Here is a 17,837-nt window from a genome sequence, read left to right as displayed (position 1 = left end):
AAAGGAAAGGTGAATCCAGAACACCCCTCTGGGCTTTGTTTCACCATCTGTAACATGCGGATAATAATGCCTCCCATTCCCCACGCCCCCAGGGTTGGCATGAGTAATACAGCAAGCAATTGTGTTATATAAAATGTCTAGCATACAATATGCACTCGAAATAAATGTCAATTGCTTTTTTTCCTTTAAAAGTGTCTAAAGCTATTTGCCTGATTCTCTGTCTCTCTCTCTCTCTCTTTTTTGAGACAGGGTCTGGTTCTGTAACCCAGGCTGGAGTGCACCACTCACTGCTCACTGCAACCTCTGCCTCCCAGGCTCAAGCGATCTTCCCACCTCCCAGGCTCAAGCGATCTTCCCACCTCAGCCTCCTGAGTAGCTGGGACTATAGGCATGCGCCATCATGCCCAGCTAATTTTTTTTTTTTTTTTTTTGGTACAGACAGGGCCTCACTATGTTGCCCAAGCTGGTCTGGAACTCCTGGACTCAGGTGATCCTCCTGCCTTGGCCTCCCAAAGTTCTGGGATTACAGGCGTGAGCCTCTGCGCCCAACCTATTTTCTTTATTTCTTACGACTGTAGTTTGTGGCTCTAGTCAGACAACCTGTCCTCACATGAGGGCTTCACCCACTCCTCACTGCACAGGGCAGGCTGTTCCACCATCTGGGATGTCCCACCTCCTCTGTTACAGGCCACTGTGGTCTTTGGGCCACTGTCACAGAGTCACCTGAGAGCTGATTCTGTGATGTTCACCCACTGAATCAGACTCTCTGAGAGTAGTTGGGTGAAAAGGTCTAAGGGTCTGCATTTACATTTTTATTTTTAAATTATTACTCTGTATTTTATTTATTTAGTGAGACTGAGTCCCACTCTACTCTGTACTTTAATTGATATAAATACTAACATTTTTACTAAGTGCTCCAGGTGATGATCATGCATATTAAAGTTGGAGAGCACTTTAATTTATGTTTTTACCATCTATTCCAGGAAGTCTGCCCAGATTTCTCCCTTGCTCCTTACCTAAGTCTAAGGTTCTGAGGGTCAGGGTCAGATTCCCATTGGGTTCTGCTGGGTGTGCTCTCCCACCGGACTGGGGAGGCCCCAGGGACAGATATCTTGCCCTTTCTTTACTCTCCTCACCCTAAGCCCAGATGTTCCTGGTACTACTGAGTGTAGATTCTCCTAGGATGCTGTAGGAAATGCAACATAATCTTTTTTTTTTGGCCAGGTGCAGTGGCTCATGCCTGTTATCCCAGCACTTTGGGAGGCCGAGGCGGGTGGATCACTTGAGGTCAGGAATTCAAGACCAGCCTGGCCAACATGGTGAAACCCTGTCTCTACTAAAAATACAAAAATTAGCCTGGCGTGGTGGCACATGCCTGTAATCCCAGCTACTCGAGTGGCTGAGGCAGGAGAATTGGTTTAACCCGAGGGGCAGAGGCTGCAGTGAGCACAGATCGTGCCACTGCACTCCAGCCTGGGCGACAGAGTGAAACTGTCTCAAAAAAAAAGAATCCTTTTTTTTTTTTTTAACCTCTACAGATACTTGGGAGAACCTAACTTCTCTGTCTTCTGTGATTCTATTCTGACTTTTCTAGATGGTATAGAAATTGTATTACTGTGTCACATCACCCTTTGCCTTTCCAATCCCATCTTACCCAGGATGTGCTAGGTGTGGGCCGGCCCCCACCCGACCCTGACAAGTGACCATGGATCCTGGAGCCGGGTCAGAGACATCTCTGACTGTCAATGAGCAGGTATCTTCTGGGGTGGGAAGTGGGGGGGTAAGGGTGATGGAGTGAGGGGTGTGGGCAACAGAGGAGGACTCCACAGGGCCCTTCACTCTCTGTTTCTTACCAGGGTTCACCATCACTTCACCTGTCCAGAGGTACTTGCCATTTAGGATTTCTCAGGGCCTGGGTTTGGGGAGTTAAGCTGTGACTTTAAGATGTAAAATCAAAGTGTACATAATATGTTTAAGTTTACATGGGGAAAGGTTTGAACATCAGGTAATTTACTCCTTAGTTTTTCTTCTTGCTTACACATATTTTCTAATTTTTTTTTTTTTTTGCAAATTACTATTACTTATATCTTTTTTGTTTGTTTGTTTGTTTGTTTGTTTTGAGATGGAGTCTCACTCTGTCACCCAGGCTGGAGTGCAGTGGCGCAATCTCGGCTCACTGCAAGCTCCGCCTCCCGGGTTCACACCATTCTTCTGCCTCAGCCTCCCGAGTAGCTGGGACTACAGGCACCCACCACCACACCCGGCTAATTTTTTGTATTTTTAGTAGAGATGGGGTTTCACCGTGTTAGCCAGGATGGTCTCGATCTCCTGACCTCGTGATCTGCCCACCTCGGCCTCCCAAAGTGCTGGAATTACAGGCGTGAGCCACCGCGCCCGGCCCATTTTTTAAAAGGAGAAAAAAAGGCCAGGCACGGTGGCTCACACCTATAATCCCAGCACTTTGGGAGGCCGAGGTGGGTGGATCACCTGAGGTCAGGAGTTCGAGACCAGCCTGGCCAACATGGTGAAACCCTGTCTCTACAAAAAATACAAAAATTAGCCGGGCGTGGTGGTGGGCACCTGTAATCCCAGCTACTTGGGTGGCTGAGGCAGGAGAATTGCGTGAGCCCAGGAGGTGGAGCTTGCAGTGAGCCGAGATCGCGCCACTGAACTCCAGCCTGGGTGACAGGGCGAGACTCTGTCTACAAAAAAAAAAAAAAAAAGAAAGAAAAGAAAAGATGAATTTCTCTGAAAATGTAATTGGAGTGAAGCCCCTCATAGGGCAAGCTGGGGCAGCACAAGAGCTGCTTTGGGGATGTATTTCACTCATCTCATATTCTGCTGATGGGTCACATCGTCACTTTTTCCAGCACAGCCTCCGACTGGATCCACTTTCAGGCTCAAAGAGTGTGTTGTGAGAGTGATTTCAGGCACAGGCCAAATGCACAGAGGCCTGACACAAAGCTGTTTAATTTACAGACTTTGTCTCTGATTCTTGAATGGCCCAATTGGCAGGGTTTCCGTGCTGGTGATGAAGAGCTAGTGTGTGTCGTCTGGGCAGGGGAGGGAGACTGAGTGTTCTGAGGAGGCTCAGGGTCCGCCTGCATCGCTCATGCATGGAGATTGCCCTTGAAGTCTGAGCATGCCCACAGCAGGTGGCAGGACTGGAGCCACAGGGCCACAGGATAAAAAGCTGCAGTCAGGCCGGGCGTGGTGGCTCACACCTGTAATCCCAGCACTTTGGGAGGCCGAGGTGGGCGGATCACGAGATCAGGAGATCGAGACCATCCTGGCCAACACAGTGAAACCCCATCTCTACTAAAAATACAAAAAAATTAGCCGGGCGTGGTGGTGGGCACCTGTAGTCCCAGCTACTCGGGAGGCTGAGGCAGGAGAATGGCGTGAACCCGGGGGGGTGGAGCTGGCAGTGAGCCGAGATTGCGCCACTGCATTCCAGCCTGGGTGACAGAGCGAGACTCTGTCTCAAAAAAAAAAAAAAAAAAAAAAGCTGCAGTCCAGGAGCGGTGCCAGGCAGAGAGGGAGAGGATGCATCTTCAGGATTCTTGACCCTTGTTTCAGGAATTTAGCTTGCAGGGAAATCCTGAGCCTTTACTCCAGAGTTTTCGAAATAAAGGAATCATGGGCGATAGAAGTTACTCAGCATTGTGGAGCATTCATTTTCCATCCCTTTATCTTTGGGGAACTTTCAGATGGTTTCAAGGGAAGTGAAGAGGGATTTGGTTCCTGGCCCGACTTAAGCTGTGGATACCATGTTAGGAGCCCTCATACCCACGTTCGAAGATCCTAGCTGCCAAGAGGACATCCTTGCAAGTTGTAGGATAGGCCATCCGCCGCTCCCTGCACTGAGTCCAAGAGATGGAACAAAGAGAAATTAGCTCCCAAATGGTTTGGCTCTGGGGGACATTTTTCTAGCTTGCGTCAGGCCCTTCTCCCTGTCACCAGGGCCTGCTTTCTTCCAGCAGCTCCTTCCCTGGAATCAGGGAGCTGCAACCTGCGCCAGGCTCTGGAATTCTCACAGAGCACACAGCCCTCTGGACAGGAGGTCTGCATCCAGAGGTGCCCTCCCCTCTCTCCCCAAACCATACCCAGAGCTTTGGACCCTGCGGCTATACTGGCCCCTATCCCAACAGTGCCCCTGTCCTCTGCTTGCAGGTCATCGTGATGTCAGGTCATGAGACCATCCGAGTGCTGGAAGTCGGAGTGGATGCCCAACTCCCTGCTGAGGAAGAGAGCAAAGGACTGGAGGGTGTGGCCGCCGAGGGCTCCCAGAGCGGAGACCCTGCTGAAGCCAGTCAAGCTGCTGGTGAAGCTGGGCCAGACAACCTGGGCTCCTCTGCAGAGGCAACTGGTACGAGGCCATCACCCCCACCTGGTACTGCTCCACCTGAGTGCCAAGTCCCTCCTGTGGTCCCTGGGGAGCCAGCATGAATCCCTGGGGCTCAGGTGGTTTTAGGGTCTTGTCTGCCTGCCCACTGGACAGCCTGTGCCTCTGGTCAGCTGCGAGGGCTACTCTACACTCTTTGTTTCTGGAGCTTTAGTTCTAGTCTGTGTCACTTCCAGGCCTAAACTAGGATGGATCAGGGTGAGGTGGGAAGAGACTGGTAGCGCTCCGCTTAGGGGGTTGCACCTGGGAGTTGAACCCGCTGAGCTGTGGGAGATCAGGCACTGCTCCCTGGCCTTGGGGCACCCTCTCATCAGTCTTCCTCATTAACACCTTGCAGAGTAGTCATCTCCTTCTGCAGGAAGCCTTGGGCCTCCTTTTTCAGTTTCCCCAGAACACCCCAATTCATTTCCCCTTGACTTCTGCTGTATATTCCCCCTTCCCTTGACTGGAGATCTGGACTGGTGGGGGTGGGCCAAGAAGAGGAGGCAAGAAGAGAGCACATGAGAACACGCAAACTTCCGAAAAGCAACAGCTCCTTAACAAGAAACTGCATGGCCACACATTACTTGCTCTACCTTCACATCAGTATGCAAATTCTTTGGAACCCTAGTAACCTTAGTCATTTTCTTTTCTTTTTGGATAAAGGAATGACAAGAGACATGACCATTTTTCCCTAGCCTGGAAATGCTCTGCTTCTATGTTGAGGCCAGGATGGGTCATCACCTGTTCCCAAGGGGCAGTGCCCTGGGGACCAGGCAGGGAAGACAAGGACCCTGCATCTCTGCCACTCCTTCCATTCAGCATAGCCATTGTGCAGTGGAGCCCCTTTTCAGAAAACAGGGGAGGTTTCTCAGGTTTATTCATCATGCCCTCACTTCGCTTTTCACCCATTTATCCATCTTCATATCTCATTTCCTCTGGTGCCTTAATTCTGCTCCTTATCCAAATTCGCTCTCAGAAATGGATCTTAAATCAATGGTTTTCGTGAGTGTTTGTGTAGTGTGCATCTTCTTCCAGGGGTTTGTGTGTCTAAGCCTTTCACAAACGCCTCCTCCTCTATAAAGGAATTTTAGTCACCATCAAGCAGGTAAGGGAGGTATTTTGATGGCACCACCTAAGCTGCCAGCTTAGAGCGGTGGAAACTTCCTAGGTGTGCAGTATTAAGAAGGGTTTCCTGTTTTTAAAACAAAACTGAGTAACAGGAAACTTTTCCAGGATGAAAACAGAATCTATTGGTTTGTGTCACTCTAAATTACTATCCAGTCTTTGTCACACATGCATATTTTCATTGTTGTGGCCGCTGAGGGTAGACTAAGTAGTATGACACCACCACGTAATTTCATGTACCTATGTCTTTTATTGACATAGAGTCACGCACCTGCTTCTGGTTTTGGCCATTGTCAAATTGTCTGGGTTTTCATTTTTCATAAACAGTGCTGCTTTGAATGTTTTTGTATTGGTCCTTTAAAAAATTCTGTGTGTGATAGTCTACTAAATTCCCTTTGAGGCCAGGCGCGGTGGCTCATGCCTATAATCCCAGCACTTTGGGAGGCCTAGATGGGCAGATCACCTGAGATCAGGAGTTCGAAATCAGCCTGGCCAACATGGCAAAACCCCGTCTTTACTAAAAAAATAAATAAATAAATTAGCCGGGCGTGGTGGCACACGCCTGTAATCCCGGCTACTCAGGAGTCTGAGGCAGGAGAATCGCTTGAACCCGGGAGGCAGAGGTTGCAGTGAGCAGAGATCGCGCCATTACACTCCAGCCTGGGCAACAGAGTGAGACTCCGTCTCAAATTAAAATAAAATAAAATAAAATTCCCTTTGGAGGGAAATTAATTATTAACATAGGAGGAAGTCATTTCATGGAAAAATATAAAATCTTGCTATCAATGAGAAGAAAAGTAATTGACTTTAAGGTATGAGTTGCCTGTTAAGCCAGAAAATAAATAAGCAATGATAAAACCTATATTGGTGGCCAGGCATGGTGGCTCACGACTGTAATCCCAGCACTTTGGGAAGCTGAGGCATGTGGATTGCTCGAGCTCAGGAGTTCGAGACCAGCCTGGGCAACATGGCAAAACTCTGTCTCTACAAAAAAATACAAAAATTAGCCAGGTGTGGTGGCACATGCCTGTAGTTCCAGCTACTCTGGAGGCTGATGTGGGAGGATCACTTGAGCTTGGGAAGTGGAGGTTACAGTGAGGCGAGATTGCGCCACTGCACTCCAGCCTGGGTGATAGAGTGAGACCTTGTCTCAGAAAAAAAAAAAAAAAAACAACTATATTGAGTGGTGCTGTGGAGAAACAGGTACATTGTTGATGTTTCTGTGAGTTCATTTAGTCTTTCTGTACAGTCTTGCAGGAAGCAATAGCAGCCCTAATGTATGTAAAACCTTGGACTCCATGGTCCTACTAAATATGCCCTAATAAAATGAATATTTTGCTTCTTTAGAGGGTAAGCTTTCATCATTTATGTTTGTCACTTTCCCATTTTCTCACTTACTTGTTATGCTTTGTCACATTTTGTCCAACAAAATGTTTTTAAAATTTTCACATGTTCAGACTCTCCTTATGTTTGCTAATTTTTTTGTTTTTTTTTTAACTCATTTTTATTTTTTCTGTAGAGATAGCATCTTGTTTTGTTGCCCAGGCTGGTCTGGTAACTCCTGGCTTCAAGTGATGCTACCACCTCAGCCTCCCAAAGTGCTGGGATTACAGGCGTGGGCTACTGCACCCAGCCTGATTTTTTTTCTGGAGTTAGAAATGTATCTTCCCTCCACAGAGGAGATAAACCTGTCATTTTGTTTTCTTTTACTATTTCATAAGGCCTTTGTTGGTGTGTGCTTGTCTCTTGAATTCCTTAAACTACCTGGGTTTTATTATTGCATGCTGTGAACAGTATAGTCCTGAGTTGAGGTTGACGCCTTCCCAAGTTGAAACATGGACTAGTACTGCAGGGTTGGACAGAACCTTTGCGGTTATCTGATTCAGTGGTTCCCACTCTTGGCCATATCGCAGGGGGAGCTTTGAAGGAAAAAAGAGAGGTGAGGTAACTAGCCTCCACTACTGGACATTCTGATTCAGTAGGCCTGGATTAAAGCCTAGAAATATATGCCCAGCAGTTTTAAGAAGCCATTGATCTGGCCAGGCGCGGTGACTCATGCCTGTAATCCCAGCACTTCGGGAGGCTGAGGCGGGCACATCACTTGAGGTCAGGAGTTCGAGACTAGCCTGACCAACATGGTGAAAACCCATCTCTCCTAAAAATACAAGAAAAAAATTAGCCAGGCGTGGTGGTATGCGCCTGTAATCTCAACTGCTTGGGAGGCTGAAGCAGAAGAACCCCTTGAGCCCCGGAGGCAGAGATTGCAGTGAGCAGAAGTCACACCACTGCACTCCAGCATGGGTGACAGAGCAAGACTCCATCTCAAAAAAAATTAAATTAAAATAAAAAGAAGCCAGTGATCTGGTCCTATATCCATCACTCAACTCCTAGGCTCCTTTTAACTAACCATATATTAAATAATAACCCTTCTCCTCGTTGTATGGCTGTGAAGAAGTTTCCTGGTGGGGTACCCCAGTACGTGTGTAGGCTAAGGTACCAAGAGAAGGCAAAAAGCTGCAGGTCACGGGAAATTCATTTAGAAGCTCACTGAAGCTGCTCACATGACTTTAGACCTCCGGGAATAGCAGAGAAAAGCTGGCTGTCCTGGAGAGCCCCTGTGATCCTGTAGTGCAGCACAGACCTGTCCAATTTTCAGGGACTGTTGCTTCCAGGACTTTGCCCTTCAGGAACTCCTGCCCTTTCAGCAGCTGCATCCAAAAGTACCCTGGAGGTGGATGAACAGCGATTCAGTGGCAGGATGAACCAAGGACAGCCGCTCCCATCATTTCTAGCTCCGGCCCTCCCTGACACACGTGTGCTTCAGACTCCTCTGTTGATGATGTGACAGTCCTTACAGGGCCAGGAAATGAGGGCTAACACTCACCTGGGTATCTTCTTCAGCTAGATGTGAGAAGGGGTGGCCTACCTCCCAGAGCTGGCACAGGGCTCCCCAGCCTCCTGTCCTCACCACCGTAGCATTCAGGAAGCTGCCTCATGGGCCAGGGAAGACCAACAATTGGTCTTGGGCTATGTAGCAATGCAGCATGGGGCTGAGGGTCCCCGCTTCAGGCTGCAGATGGGATGTCATGTACTGCTGTGGTGACCCCTCCACTCACGTCAGGCTCACTCCTTGTCCTTCTTTCTCTCAATGCCTTGTGAAGTGAAGTCACCCCCGGGGATCCCTCCGAGCCCTGCCACTGCCATTGCCACCTTCAGCCAAGCCCCAAGCCAGCCTCAGGCATCGCAGACCCTGACGCCACTGGCTGTACAAGCTGCCCCCCAGGTAAGGGCTGCCCTCGGGAGCTGGACAGAAGGCCGGGGGCAGGAGCGAGGCATGGGACAGCCAGCATGGGGAAGCCATGGAATCTGGGAACTTCATGGGGGCAGGACAGGGAAGGGGCTATGGCTTGAGGGAGGGACTCTCCCACTAGGCACATCCAGCCTCACCCCTGCCTAGATCAGGCCCATTTGGAAAAGGGGATCTACATTTGCAGAATCATCTCCTTGGGCCTGCCAGGATTGCAGAAATAACATTAACTCTTTCACGCAGCCAGAGTTTCTGTTTATCAAATGACTAAATGAATGAATACCCTTGCCGGCCCTCCAGTGGATGCCTGTAAGAGTTAATGGATTGTTCAGAGTCCTCATTTAGAGCCAGGGAGTGGCCCCAGCACCATGAGAGGCTGCCTTCAGGATCCTGCAGGCAGGCAGAGCTCCCTGTCCCTTTCGCTACATTCCCTGACTCCAAGGCATCCAGCCAAGGGTATGGTCCTTCAGAAACTTCTCGGAGGCCTCTGTGGGGCCTTGACCACTTGGTTCCATTAGCCTCTGCGGGGCCTTGACCACTTGGTTCCATTAGCCTCTGCGGGGCCTTGACCACTTGGTTCCATCAGCCTCTGCTCCCTGTTCCCTGGCCACTAAGCACGGGGCCTGTCAGCAAGGGCTCGCGGAAGGCCTGGCAGGCAGCAGGCTGTGGTGGGGGAGGCCTGTGCCCCCTTCCCATCCTGTGAGCAGGGCCGCCTTGCCCTGGATTTAGGCGACTTCTCTGAAGGCAGGATAGTCGGTCCAGGCACCCCCTCAGGTTTGGGCCTCCAGCTAGGGTTTGGCTCTTCCCCATCCTCATGTGGCCTTCGGCCCATCGCCCTCAGAATGCTTTGTTTGTGCTCAGCTGGGTCTCAGAGACCCAGTGTTTGCGCTGTCAATGTTGATTTTTTATTTTTTCTTTTCTTTTTGAAATCTTGTTTGCTTTTGCAGGTCTTGACTCAGGAAAACTTAGCCACAGTTCTGACAGGAGTTATGGTTCCAGCAGGGGCAGTTACTCAACCTCTTCTTATCCCCATCAGTATTGCAGGTCAAGTGGCTGGTCAGCAGGGGCTGGCCGTGTGGACAATTCCTACAGCAACTGTGGCTGCCCTCCCAGGACTGACCGCTGCTTCTCCTACGGGGGGAGTGTTCAAGCCACCTTTAGCCGGTCTCCAAGGTAACGGCAACTCTTCCCAGGACTGCACCAGGCCCCCCACCCTCTACTACACCCCCGCACGTGTGCTTGCCATGTCGGACTCAGAACCCACGGCCCACCCAGGGCAACCGCCCTGGAGTCTGGATCCGGTGTCTTGGGCATCCGGCCGCAGAGCTGCTGCACCACCTCGGGACTGTAGGCCGTGACGCCACGCTGGCCCCGCAGGCCTGCCGTACTTCGGCCAGCTGTCTGAGACTGCCCCTCTCCCCCCACGCCAGAACTCACCCCATGACCGGCCTCCTGGGAAGGACTACAAGAAGATTCAACGTCTGGTTCTTGAACCTACACATCTCCTGGCCCCAGGGAGGGGGGATAAGAGATGCTGGCGTGCGCCAGCCCTTCAAGGATCAAGGGAATCGTGGCTGCCTGCCCCACTGAGCCCACTGCCCCAACCCCCTCTCCTTCTTGTGCCAGATCCCTTGGGATTGGAGCCGCTGTGAGCAGTGGCTAGGCATTTGAGCACCTCTGTCTCTGCCTTGCTCCATAGCAGCTGCTGTGCTGAACACCGCTCTTCCGGCACCGGTACAAGCTGCCGCACCAGTACAGGCCTCCTCGACGGCCCAACCCCGGCCACCAGCCCAGCCCCAGACGCTGTTCCAGACCCAGCCGCTGCTGCAGACCACACCTGCCATCCTCCCGCAGCCCACTGCTGCCACCGCTGCTGCCCCTACCCCCAAGCCAGTGGACACCCCCCCACAGATCACCGTCCAGCCTGCAGGCTTCGCATTTAGCCCAGGAATCGTAAGCTGCTGCCCTCACCCAGGGCTGACCAGGGATGGACGGAATCATGGGCCAAGGGTGGAACTGACCCTTCCCACAGTGGAGGACGAGCCCCCCCCGAAAACAGCCCTTTTCCAACACATCAGCAGAGATGGGCTCCCTCTGAGGCCTTCTCCTTGCAGCTGCCAGCCCGTCCATCCCAGATAAAAGCAGACAACCTCTGCCAAGAGGGCTGGGCACATTCTCCAGAACCTGAACCACTGGACCAGGCTTGGAGGGTGGGATGACGTCTGGGGGTTGAAAACTTGTGAGCTGTCCCTACGGTGCAGTCAGAGCTTACAGCTCTATGCTGGTGTCTGTCCAGTGTAGCTCCTGGCTTGGCAGTGGGAGGCGTTAGATATGACTAGGATCACATCAGCCTCTCCAGTGTGGCCCTTCTACCCTCCCAGGCCTGGCCTGAAAGATTAACCCGAGTTACTTTTCCATGACTGTGGCCCTGCCCTTCCCTGCTGACCCCTGCAGCCCCTAGCCCTGGAAACCATCCAGCCGGTAGACCCCTAGCCCTGGAAACCATCCAGCCGGTAGACCCCTAGCCCTGGAAACCATCCAGCCGGTAGACCCCTAGCCCTGGAAACCATCCAGCCGGTAGACCCCTAGCCCTGGAAACCATCCAGCAGGTAGACCCCTAGCCCTGGAAACCATCCAGCCGGTAGACCCCTAGCCCTGGAAACCATCCAGCCGGTAGACATGGGCCTGAAGCCCACATTCACATCTACCCACCCCAATGCCCTCTGTCCTCTTCCCTCTGCCCGGGGTTCTTCTCACCCCTTGGCTTCTGAGCAAGGCTCTTCCTCCACCCACAGATCAGTGCTGCTTCCCTCGGGGGACAGACCCAGATCCTGGGGTCCCTCACTACAGCTCCAGTCATTACCAGCGCCATTCCCAGCATGCCAGGGATCAGCAGTCAGATCCTCACCAATGCTCAGGGACAGGCAAGTGGCCAAAGACAGGGCTGGAGGGTGGGGACTGTGGAGAGGCTGGCCAGGGGATGGCGGCCAGGTCTTGGGCTGTGGGTCATAGAAACTCGAACAGACGTCAAGCTGTTGTTCCTATCTCCTCTGCGGCGGCTTTCTGCCGATGCTGAAGCTGGGCAGGGGTGTAGCCACCACCCTGTCCTGGAGGTGCTCACATTACGTGGGAGTTTTCATTTATGGAGCACCCATGCTGTGGTCAGGCTTTATGCTAGGTGCTTTCTCATACATCATCTCACTTTCTTTGGAGTACAAATCTATTAGATGGAGATTTTTATTCCCATCTTACAAGACAGAAGGCTGAGGTTCAGAGCAATGAAAGCTACACAGCTAAAATGTGGCAGAACAAGGCAGGTCTCTGAATCCACATCCAGACCTATTCCTGCTCCACCATAGCTCTGAGGATGGAATAAAGGAAGTAGCCCTTAGAGTGTGAATCCTGCATTTTACTCATGCAGAAGCTGAGGCCAGAGCAGGTTGAGGGATTTGTCCATTAGTCTGTTCCCCTGGTGGTGTGGGGATCTGGGTTTGGGGTGGAGCTGGATGCTACCCTCACACCTGGGGTCCCTGCCTTATTTCCTCCCAGGTTATTGGAACCCTTCCATGGGTAGTGAACTCAGCTAGTGTGGCGGCCCCAGCACCAGCCCAAAGCCTGCAGGTCCAGGCCGTGACCCCCCAGCTGTTGTTGAACGCCCAGGGCCAGGTGATTGCGACCCTGGCTAGCAGCCCCCTGCCTCCACCTGTGGCTGTCCGGAAGCCAAGCACACCTGAGTCCCCTGCTAAGAGTGAGGTACAGGGGCTGGGGGGGGTGGGGGGTGGGGCAGGCTCTGCTATCTGGCACCGGCTGCTTCCCTCCAGACTGCCAGGCAGGACAGCATCTTCTGAAACTCCTGGGAGTGCAGGGCGCTTCCTAAAGTGGGGGAGGTCCCAGAGTAGAAGGCCCACATGTGTCCACACAGGTTCTGCCCAGGGAAACAGCACCACGAGACCCCCTACTCACACGCACCCAAAATATGTATAGGTGCCCTCAGATGCCAGTGCTGTTCTAAGAAGGTCAGGGAGGTAGGTGATGGTCAAAGTAGACTGGGCCAGAATCAGCTTTAGGGTGAACAAACTTCCTGAAAAGCCCTGGGAAGTCAGTTCTGTACCCCATTCCTCTACCCCTCCATCCCTCCACCCCTCCACTCTGCACCGTGGCTTTGATTTACTCATTGCTCATTCTAGGAGTATTTATTTAGTGCCTACTATTATTCCAAGTGCTGAAGACACAAAGATGAATAAGATGCCTTCTTAGCCTTAGGTAGCTTGGCATTGGAGACCATTACAAGTCAGTGGGACAAAACTATCACAGGGACACACAAATAAGGTGGTTTGGGGCCCTAGAGAAAAGAGCTCTTGACAAACTTGGGGGTTAGGCAAGACTTCATAGATAAGGGACATTGGACTATCATAAAGGGATAAAGCCAGGTGTAGTGGTGCTCACCTGTAGTCCCAGCTACTCAGGAGGCTAAGGCGGAGGATCGCTTGAGGCCAAGAGTTCAAGGCTGCAGTGTACAATGATCATGGCTGTGAATAGCCACTGCACTCCAGCCTGGACGACATAGCAAGACCCCATCTCTAAAAATAAAAAGGGATGAGTTGGATGTGAGAGTGTTCTACCTTCAGGGAACTGCAACAAGTATCACATGCTAGAGCAGCAGTTCTCAAGCCTGTGCATCAGAATCCCCTGGAGGCCTTGCTGGAATGAAGATTCCTGGGTCCCACCTCAGAGTTTCTTATTCAGTAGATCTGAAGTGGGGTCCAAGAGTTTGCATTCCTAAGTTCCCAGGTCACAATATGGCCAGTGGTTCGCAAATGCAGCATGCACTTCCAAGTTTTGTAAATAACCTCTTAGCTTTATCTGTGAACAGGGATCATAAGGGTACCAACTTCAGAAGGTTATGAATGCTAAAGGATATATTATACATAGGCAATGAACACTGGCGCACAGAAAGCACTTGAAAAACAAGCAGTAGTTCTTGTTATTACCATTATCAGGTAAGGTAGTAGGGAACTGCTGATGCTGAAGGGCGTTAGCAAGGAAATGGCTGACCAGATGAGCTTTTTTTTTTTTTTTTTTGAGACCAGGGTCTTGCTCTGTTGCCCAGGCTGGTGTGCAGTGATGTGACCTTGGCTCACTGCAACCTCTGCTCCTAGACTCAATCAATCCTCCCACTTCAGCCTCCCCGGTAGCTGGGACTACAGGTGTGCACCACCACACCTGGCTAATTTTTGTATGTTTTGTAGAGACAGGGTTTTGCCACATTGCCCAGGCTGGTCTCAAACTCCTGAACTCAAGTGATCAGCCCACCTCAGCCTCCCAAAGTGCTGGTATTACAGGCATGTGACACCGTGCCCAGCTGAGAGATGCATTTTTTAAAAATCCCTGTTATAGGCTGGGCACAGTGGCTCAGGCCTGTAATCCCAGCACTTTGGTAGGCCGAGGCGGGTGGATCACCTGAGGCCAGGAGTTCAAGACCAGCCTGCCCAACATGGTGAAACCTCGTCTCTACTAAAAATACAAAAATTAGCCAGGTGTGGTGGCGGGCACCTGTAATCCTAGCTACTTGGGAGGCCGAGGTAGGAGAATTGCTTGAACCCGGGAGGCAGAGGTTGTGATGAGCCGAGATCATGCTACTGCACTCCAGCCTGGGCAACAAAGTGAGACTCCGTCTCAAAAAAAAAAATCCCCGTTATTCACATGGTGTCAAGAACTGGACTGTGGTGAGGCAGTTTAAACAGCTCTAGGGAGAGTCAAGGAGCTCTGAACTAAGTCAAAGGCCCTGGGGATGAAGAAGCAATGGACTTGAGACGTACCAGGGGTAGAATCCAGGAAACAGGACCATCCTGGAGAAATCTGTACTTCCTAGAAAGCTTTTTTTCTTTTTAATCATACCAAATACTTTCATATATTTATAGTTTCTTCTGATTACAAATAGGATATGTGGTTTTTACAAAAATTCTAATATTTTGTGTAATGTAAAAAGTAAAAATTCCTTCTAATTCCAACTCCAGAGACAACTTCTTTTGATAGCTCACTTTATGTGCAAGATTTTGTTTTTCTGGAAATTCATATGTATTTCTTAAAGGCATTATTCCATAAAAACTGATTTTCTTTTTTTTTAAATTATTTTTTATTTCTTGAGATGGAGTCTCACTCTGTTGCCCAGGCTGAAGTGCAGTGGCATGATCTCTCGGCTTACTGCAATCTCTGCCTCCCGTGTTCAAGCGATTCTCCTGCCTCAGCCTCCCCAGTAGCCGGGATTATAGGTGCGTGCCACCACGCCTGGCTAATTTTTGTATTTTTAGTAAGAGTCGGGGTCTCACTATGTTAGCCAGGCTGGTCTTGAACTCCTGACTTCAGGTGATCCGCCCCCTTTGGCTTCCCAAAGTGCGTGAGCCACCGCGCCCGACCACATTTTTCACTTAGGGCTATGACTCAGACATCAGAGTAGTTAAGAGGTATACCTTCTCCCTTTTAATGGCTGCACAGTCTGTCTTGGTAGAGAGATACCAAAAGCCATCTGCCAGTTTCCCTGTTCAATGCGCATTTGGTGCCTGAGAGGCTCTAAAATCAGGTTGAGGCTGCTGCTTTGAGGGCAGAGATTTGGAAGCAGTTATCCCAAGGGTGAGCACTTGTTGGGGCTTTGGCCAAGTGTACTGAACCTTTCTGAGCCTCTCGCCTGCCTGTGTCACAGTTGGGTGTGAAGCTCCAGGTTGGTAGGGCAGGTTGCTGTGCTTATTTAGTATAATTCAGTCACTATTGTTGGGTGGGTATTAATAAGGTGTTTCTTAGTCTTGCTTTTTTTTTTTTTTGAGACGGAGTCTCACTCTGTCGCCCAGTCTGGAGTGCAGTGGCGCGATCTTGGCTCATTGCAACCTCCGCCTCCCAGGTTCAAGCAATTCTCCTGCTTCAGTCTCCTGAGTAGCTGGAATTATAGGCACCCACCACCATGCCCAGCTAATTTTTGTATTTTTAGTAGAGACAGGGTTTTGCCACATTGCCCAGGCTGATATCAAACTCCCAACCTCAAGTGATCCTCCCGCCTTGGCTTCCCAAAGTGTTGGGATTACAGGCATCAGCCACCATGCCCTGCCTAGTCTTGTTTTATGATAGAGCCCAGGCGGGAATGTCCTGCATGCGTGAGGATTTCATGTCTGTTTTTGCCCTGCCTCTGGTCCACCCAGGGATTTTAACTCCCTGAGCCTGGCAGAGGGCAGCAAAGGCTTGTTGTCTGTCCTTTCACAGGTGCAGCCCATCCAGCCCACACCAACCGTGCCCCAGCCTGCTGTGGTCATTGCCAGCCCAGCTCCAGCCGCCAAGCCATCTGCCTCTGCTCCTATCCCAATTACCTGCTCAGAGACCCCCACCGTCAGCCAGTTGGTGTCCAGTAAGTGGCTCCTGGAGAAGTAGTGTGGAGAAGTGGGGAGGCATTTATGTGGGCACCCAATCTCTTCAGATGCTGCTTTCCTTGATATCCTGGGGTCCAGAGGGGAAGGGCAGAGGCCCAATATGAGGGGCTGGCTTTTTTATTCCCATTCCTGTTGAGGTGGAGTTTGGGCACGATGACAGTGGAGGCTGTCAAGCTGGCTGGCTGGCTGCTTTTTGGAGAGGCCGAGCCATGGGCTGTCTCCGCTATGGTCTCTCACCCAGTATTTGAGGAATGTGGGTGACCAACAAGTGTGTTTGGGGCCAGGCCTAGGGAGAATGGGGGAGGGTGAGCAGTTAGAGCTGGAAGAACTTGAAAATAGCTCCTTACCCCTGGAGAGGTTAGTTTAGGCCCCTTCAACTCTTGCTTGTCTTGGGGACAAAGGTGATAAGAGTCTTGAAGGTGCGTGAGCCTTTTCCCAGGTGTCCTCACCTCTCACTACTGCGTCAGTTCAGACCAATGAGCCAGATAAGCAGGGATGGTTCCCATGTTACACACTCATCCCTGCTCCCTCCCTCTGGCCTAGAGCCACATACTCCAAGTCTGGATGAGGATGGGATCAACTTAGAAGAGATCCGGGAGTTTGCCAAGAACTTTAAGATCCGGCGGCTCTCGCTGGGCCTTACACAGACCCAGGTGGGTCAGGCTCTGACTGCAACGGAAGGTCCAGCCTACAGCCAGTCAGCCATCTGCCGGTGAGTAAGGCTGCCCTAGACAGGATTAGGGCCTGCTCAGCTGCCTGGTGCCACCGGGCACTCATGGGAACCTGAGCACCGGCCCCTTTTCCATATGCCCCCTTGCTCCAGCCTTTTTCCAGATAAGGAAGACCATCTTAAGGGTAGATATGAACACCTGGGGCAGTCAAAGGCTGACCCTGTCCTTCTGAGGTCCTCTGAAGATTATCCTCCAATCCTGGGCATTAATATGGGTCTTCTTTGGGGAACCCAAGACCCTAATCCACTGAGGAATTCTAGCAGGAAAGGAGTACAGCTTATAAAATTAGTCACCAAAGTGGGAACTTCCATTCTATGTTGGCCCTTAACTGTAACCCACCATACCTCATCATGCTCCCATCTCCCCTCTAACAAGGAATGACTGTAAAGTAACATAGCTGAGTTTTCTGTAAGCAGCCTACAAACTAGTTTTGGTGCCAGGAGGGATAGAGTTTCAAACAAGAATAAGCGCATGGCTCAGGGATGGCCAAAAGGTTTCATCTGCCTGCCAGCTCCATAGGTCAGGCTAGAGTGACCTTTAGAGTGCCTCCAGCATCCTGTGGAGAATCCTGTCACCACATCCAGCTCAGCCAGAAAGAGCAGCCTGACTTGTTAGTGATGCTGCTATGGGAGTGTGACTGGAGGCCTCCCAAGGTGACTCCTCAAAAGGACTTCATTCATTTAGGGGAACGTTCTAGAATGGTTGTTTGTAAGGCAGTTGCACTATTATTATTCCACTACTGACTGAGCCGAGGCCGTGGGAATGGTTTCCCTGTTAGGACCGGGCACATCAGAGGGTCTGAGGAGTCTGGGCTTGGCCAAACTAGAGGGGTCTTGGTGGAGGTGGTGAGGGGAGCACTGGGTACAGTCTCA

At 51.0% G+C, this 17,837-nt stretch overlaps 1 protein-coding gene across 25 annotated transcripts in view, besides 1 other annotated feature; it reads left to right on the top strand.

Annotated features, from left to right (window-relative positions):
• Positions 1–17,837, top strand: part of POU6F1 (POU class 6 homeobox 1) — a 31,127-nt gene that overhangs the window by 9,521 nt on the left and 3,769 nt on the right. For 4 of the 25 annotated variants that reach the window (NM_001330422.2, XM_047429034.1, XM_047429033.1 and 1 more), the window contains 9 exons: positions 1,659–1,753; positions 4,174–4,369; positions 8,674–8,795; positions 9,767–9,992; positions 10,519–10,772; positions 11,615–11,743; positions 12,369–12,572; positions 16,071–16,212; positions 16,778–16,946. In NM_001330422.2, coding sequence (NP_001317351.1) covers positions 1,706–1,753; positions 4,174–4,369; positions 8,674–8,795; positions 9,767–9,992; positions 10,519–10,772; positions 11,615–11,743; positions 12,369–12,572; positions 16,071–16,212; positions 16,778–16,946 — 1,490 coding nt within the window. In that variant the 5' untranslated portion in view covers positions 1,659–1,705. Of the gene's footprint in view, positions 1–1,299; positions 1,320–1,594; positions 1,754–4,173; positions 6,859–8,673; positions 8,796–9,766; positions 10,773–11,595; positions 11,744–12,368; positions 12,573–16,070; positions 16,213–16,777; positions 16,947–17,837 lie in introns of those variants that run through there. The other 21 variants (XM_047429035.1, NR_147051.2, NR_147047.2 and 18 more) reach the window with 21 other exon arrangements.
• Positions 8,229–8,728: an enhancer, noted in NCBI's record as "H3K4me1 hESC enhancer chr12:51593597-51594096 (GRCh37/hg19 assembly coordinates)". NCBI's record gives its function as "activates a minimal SCP1, AML or CMV promoter by ChIP-STARR-seq in naive H9 embryonic stem cells {active_cell/tissue: H9 hESC(naive)}" and the evidence as "EXISTENCE:reporter gene assay evidence [ECO:0000049][PMID:30033119]".

Source organism: Homo sapiens, chromosome 12 (genome assembly GCF_000001405.40).
Source record: "Homo sapiens chromosome 12, GRCh38.p14 Primary Assembly".
NCBI lineage: Eukaryota > Metazoa > Chordata > Mammalia > Primates > Hominidae > Homo > Homo sapiens.
The sequence above is the reverse complement of the archived record's forward strand: the minus strand, read 5'-3'. Positions and strand labels throughout refer to the sequence as shown.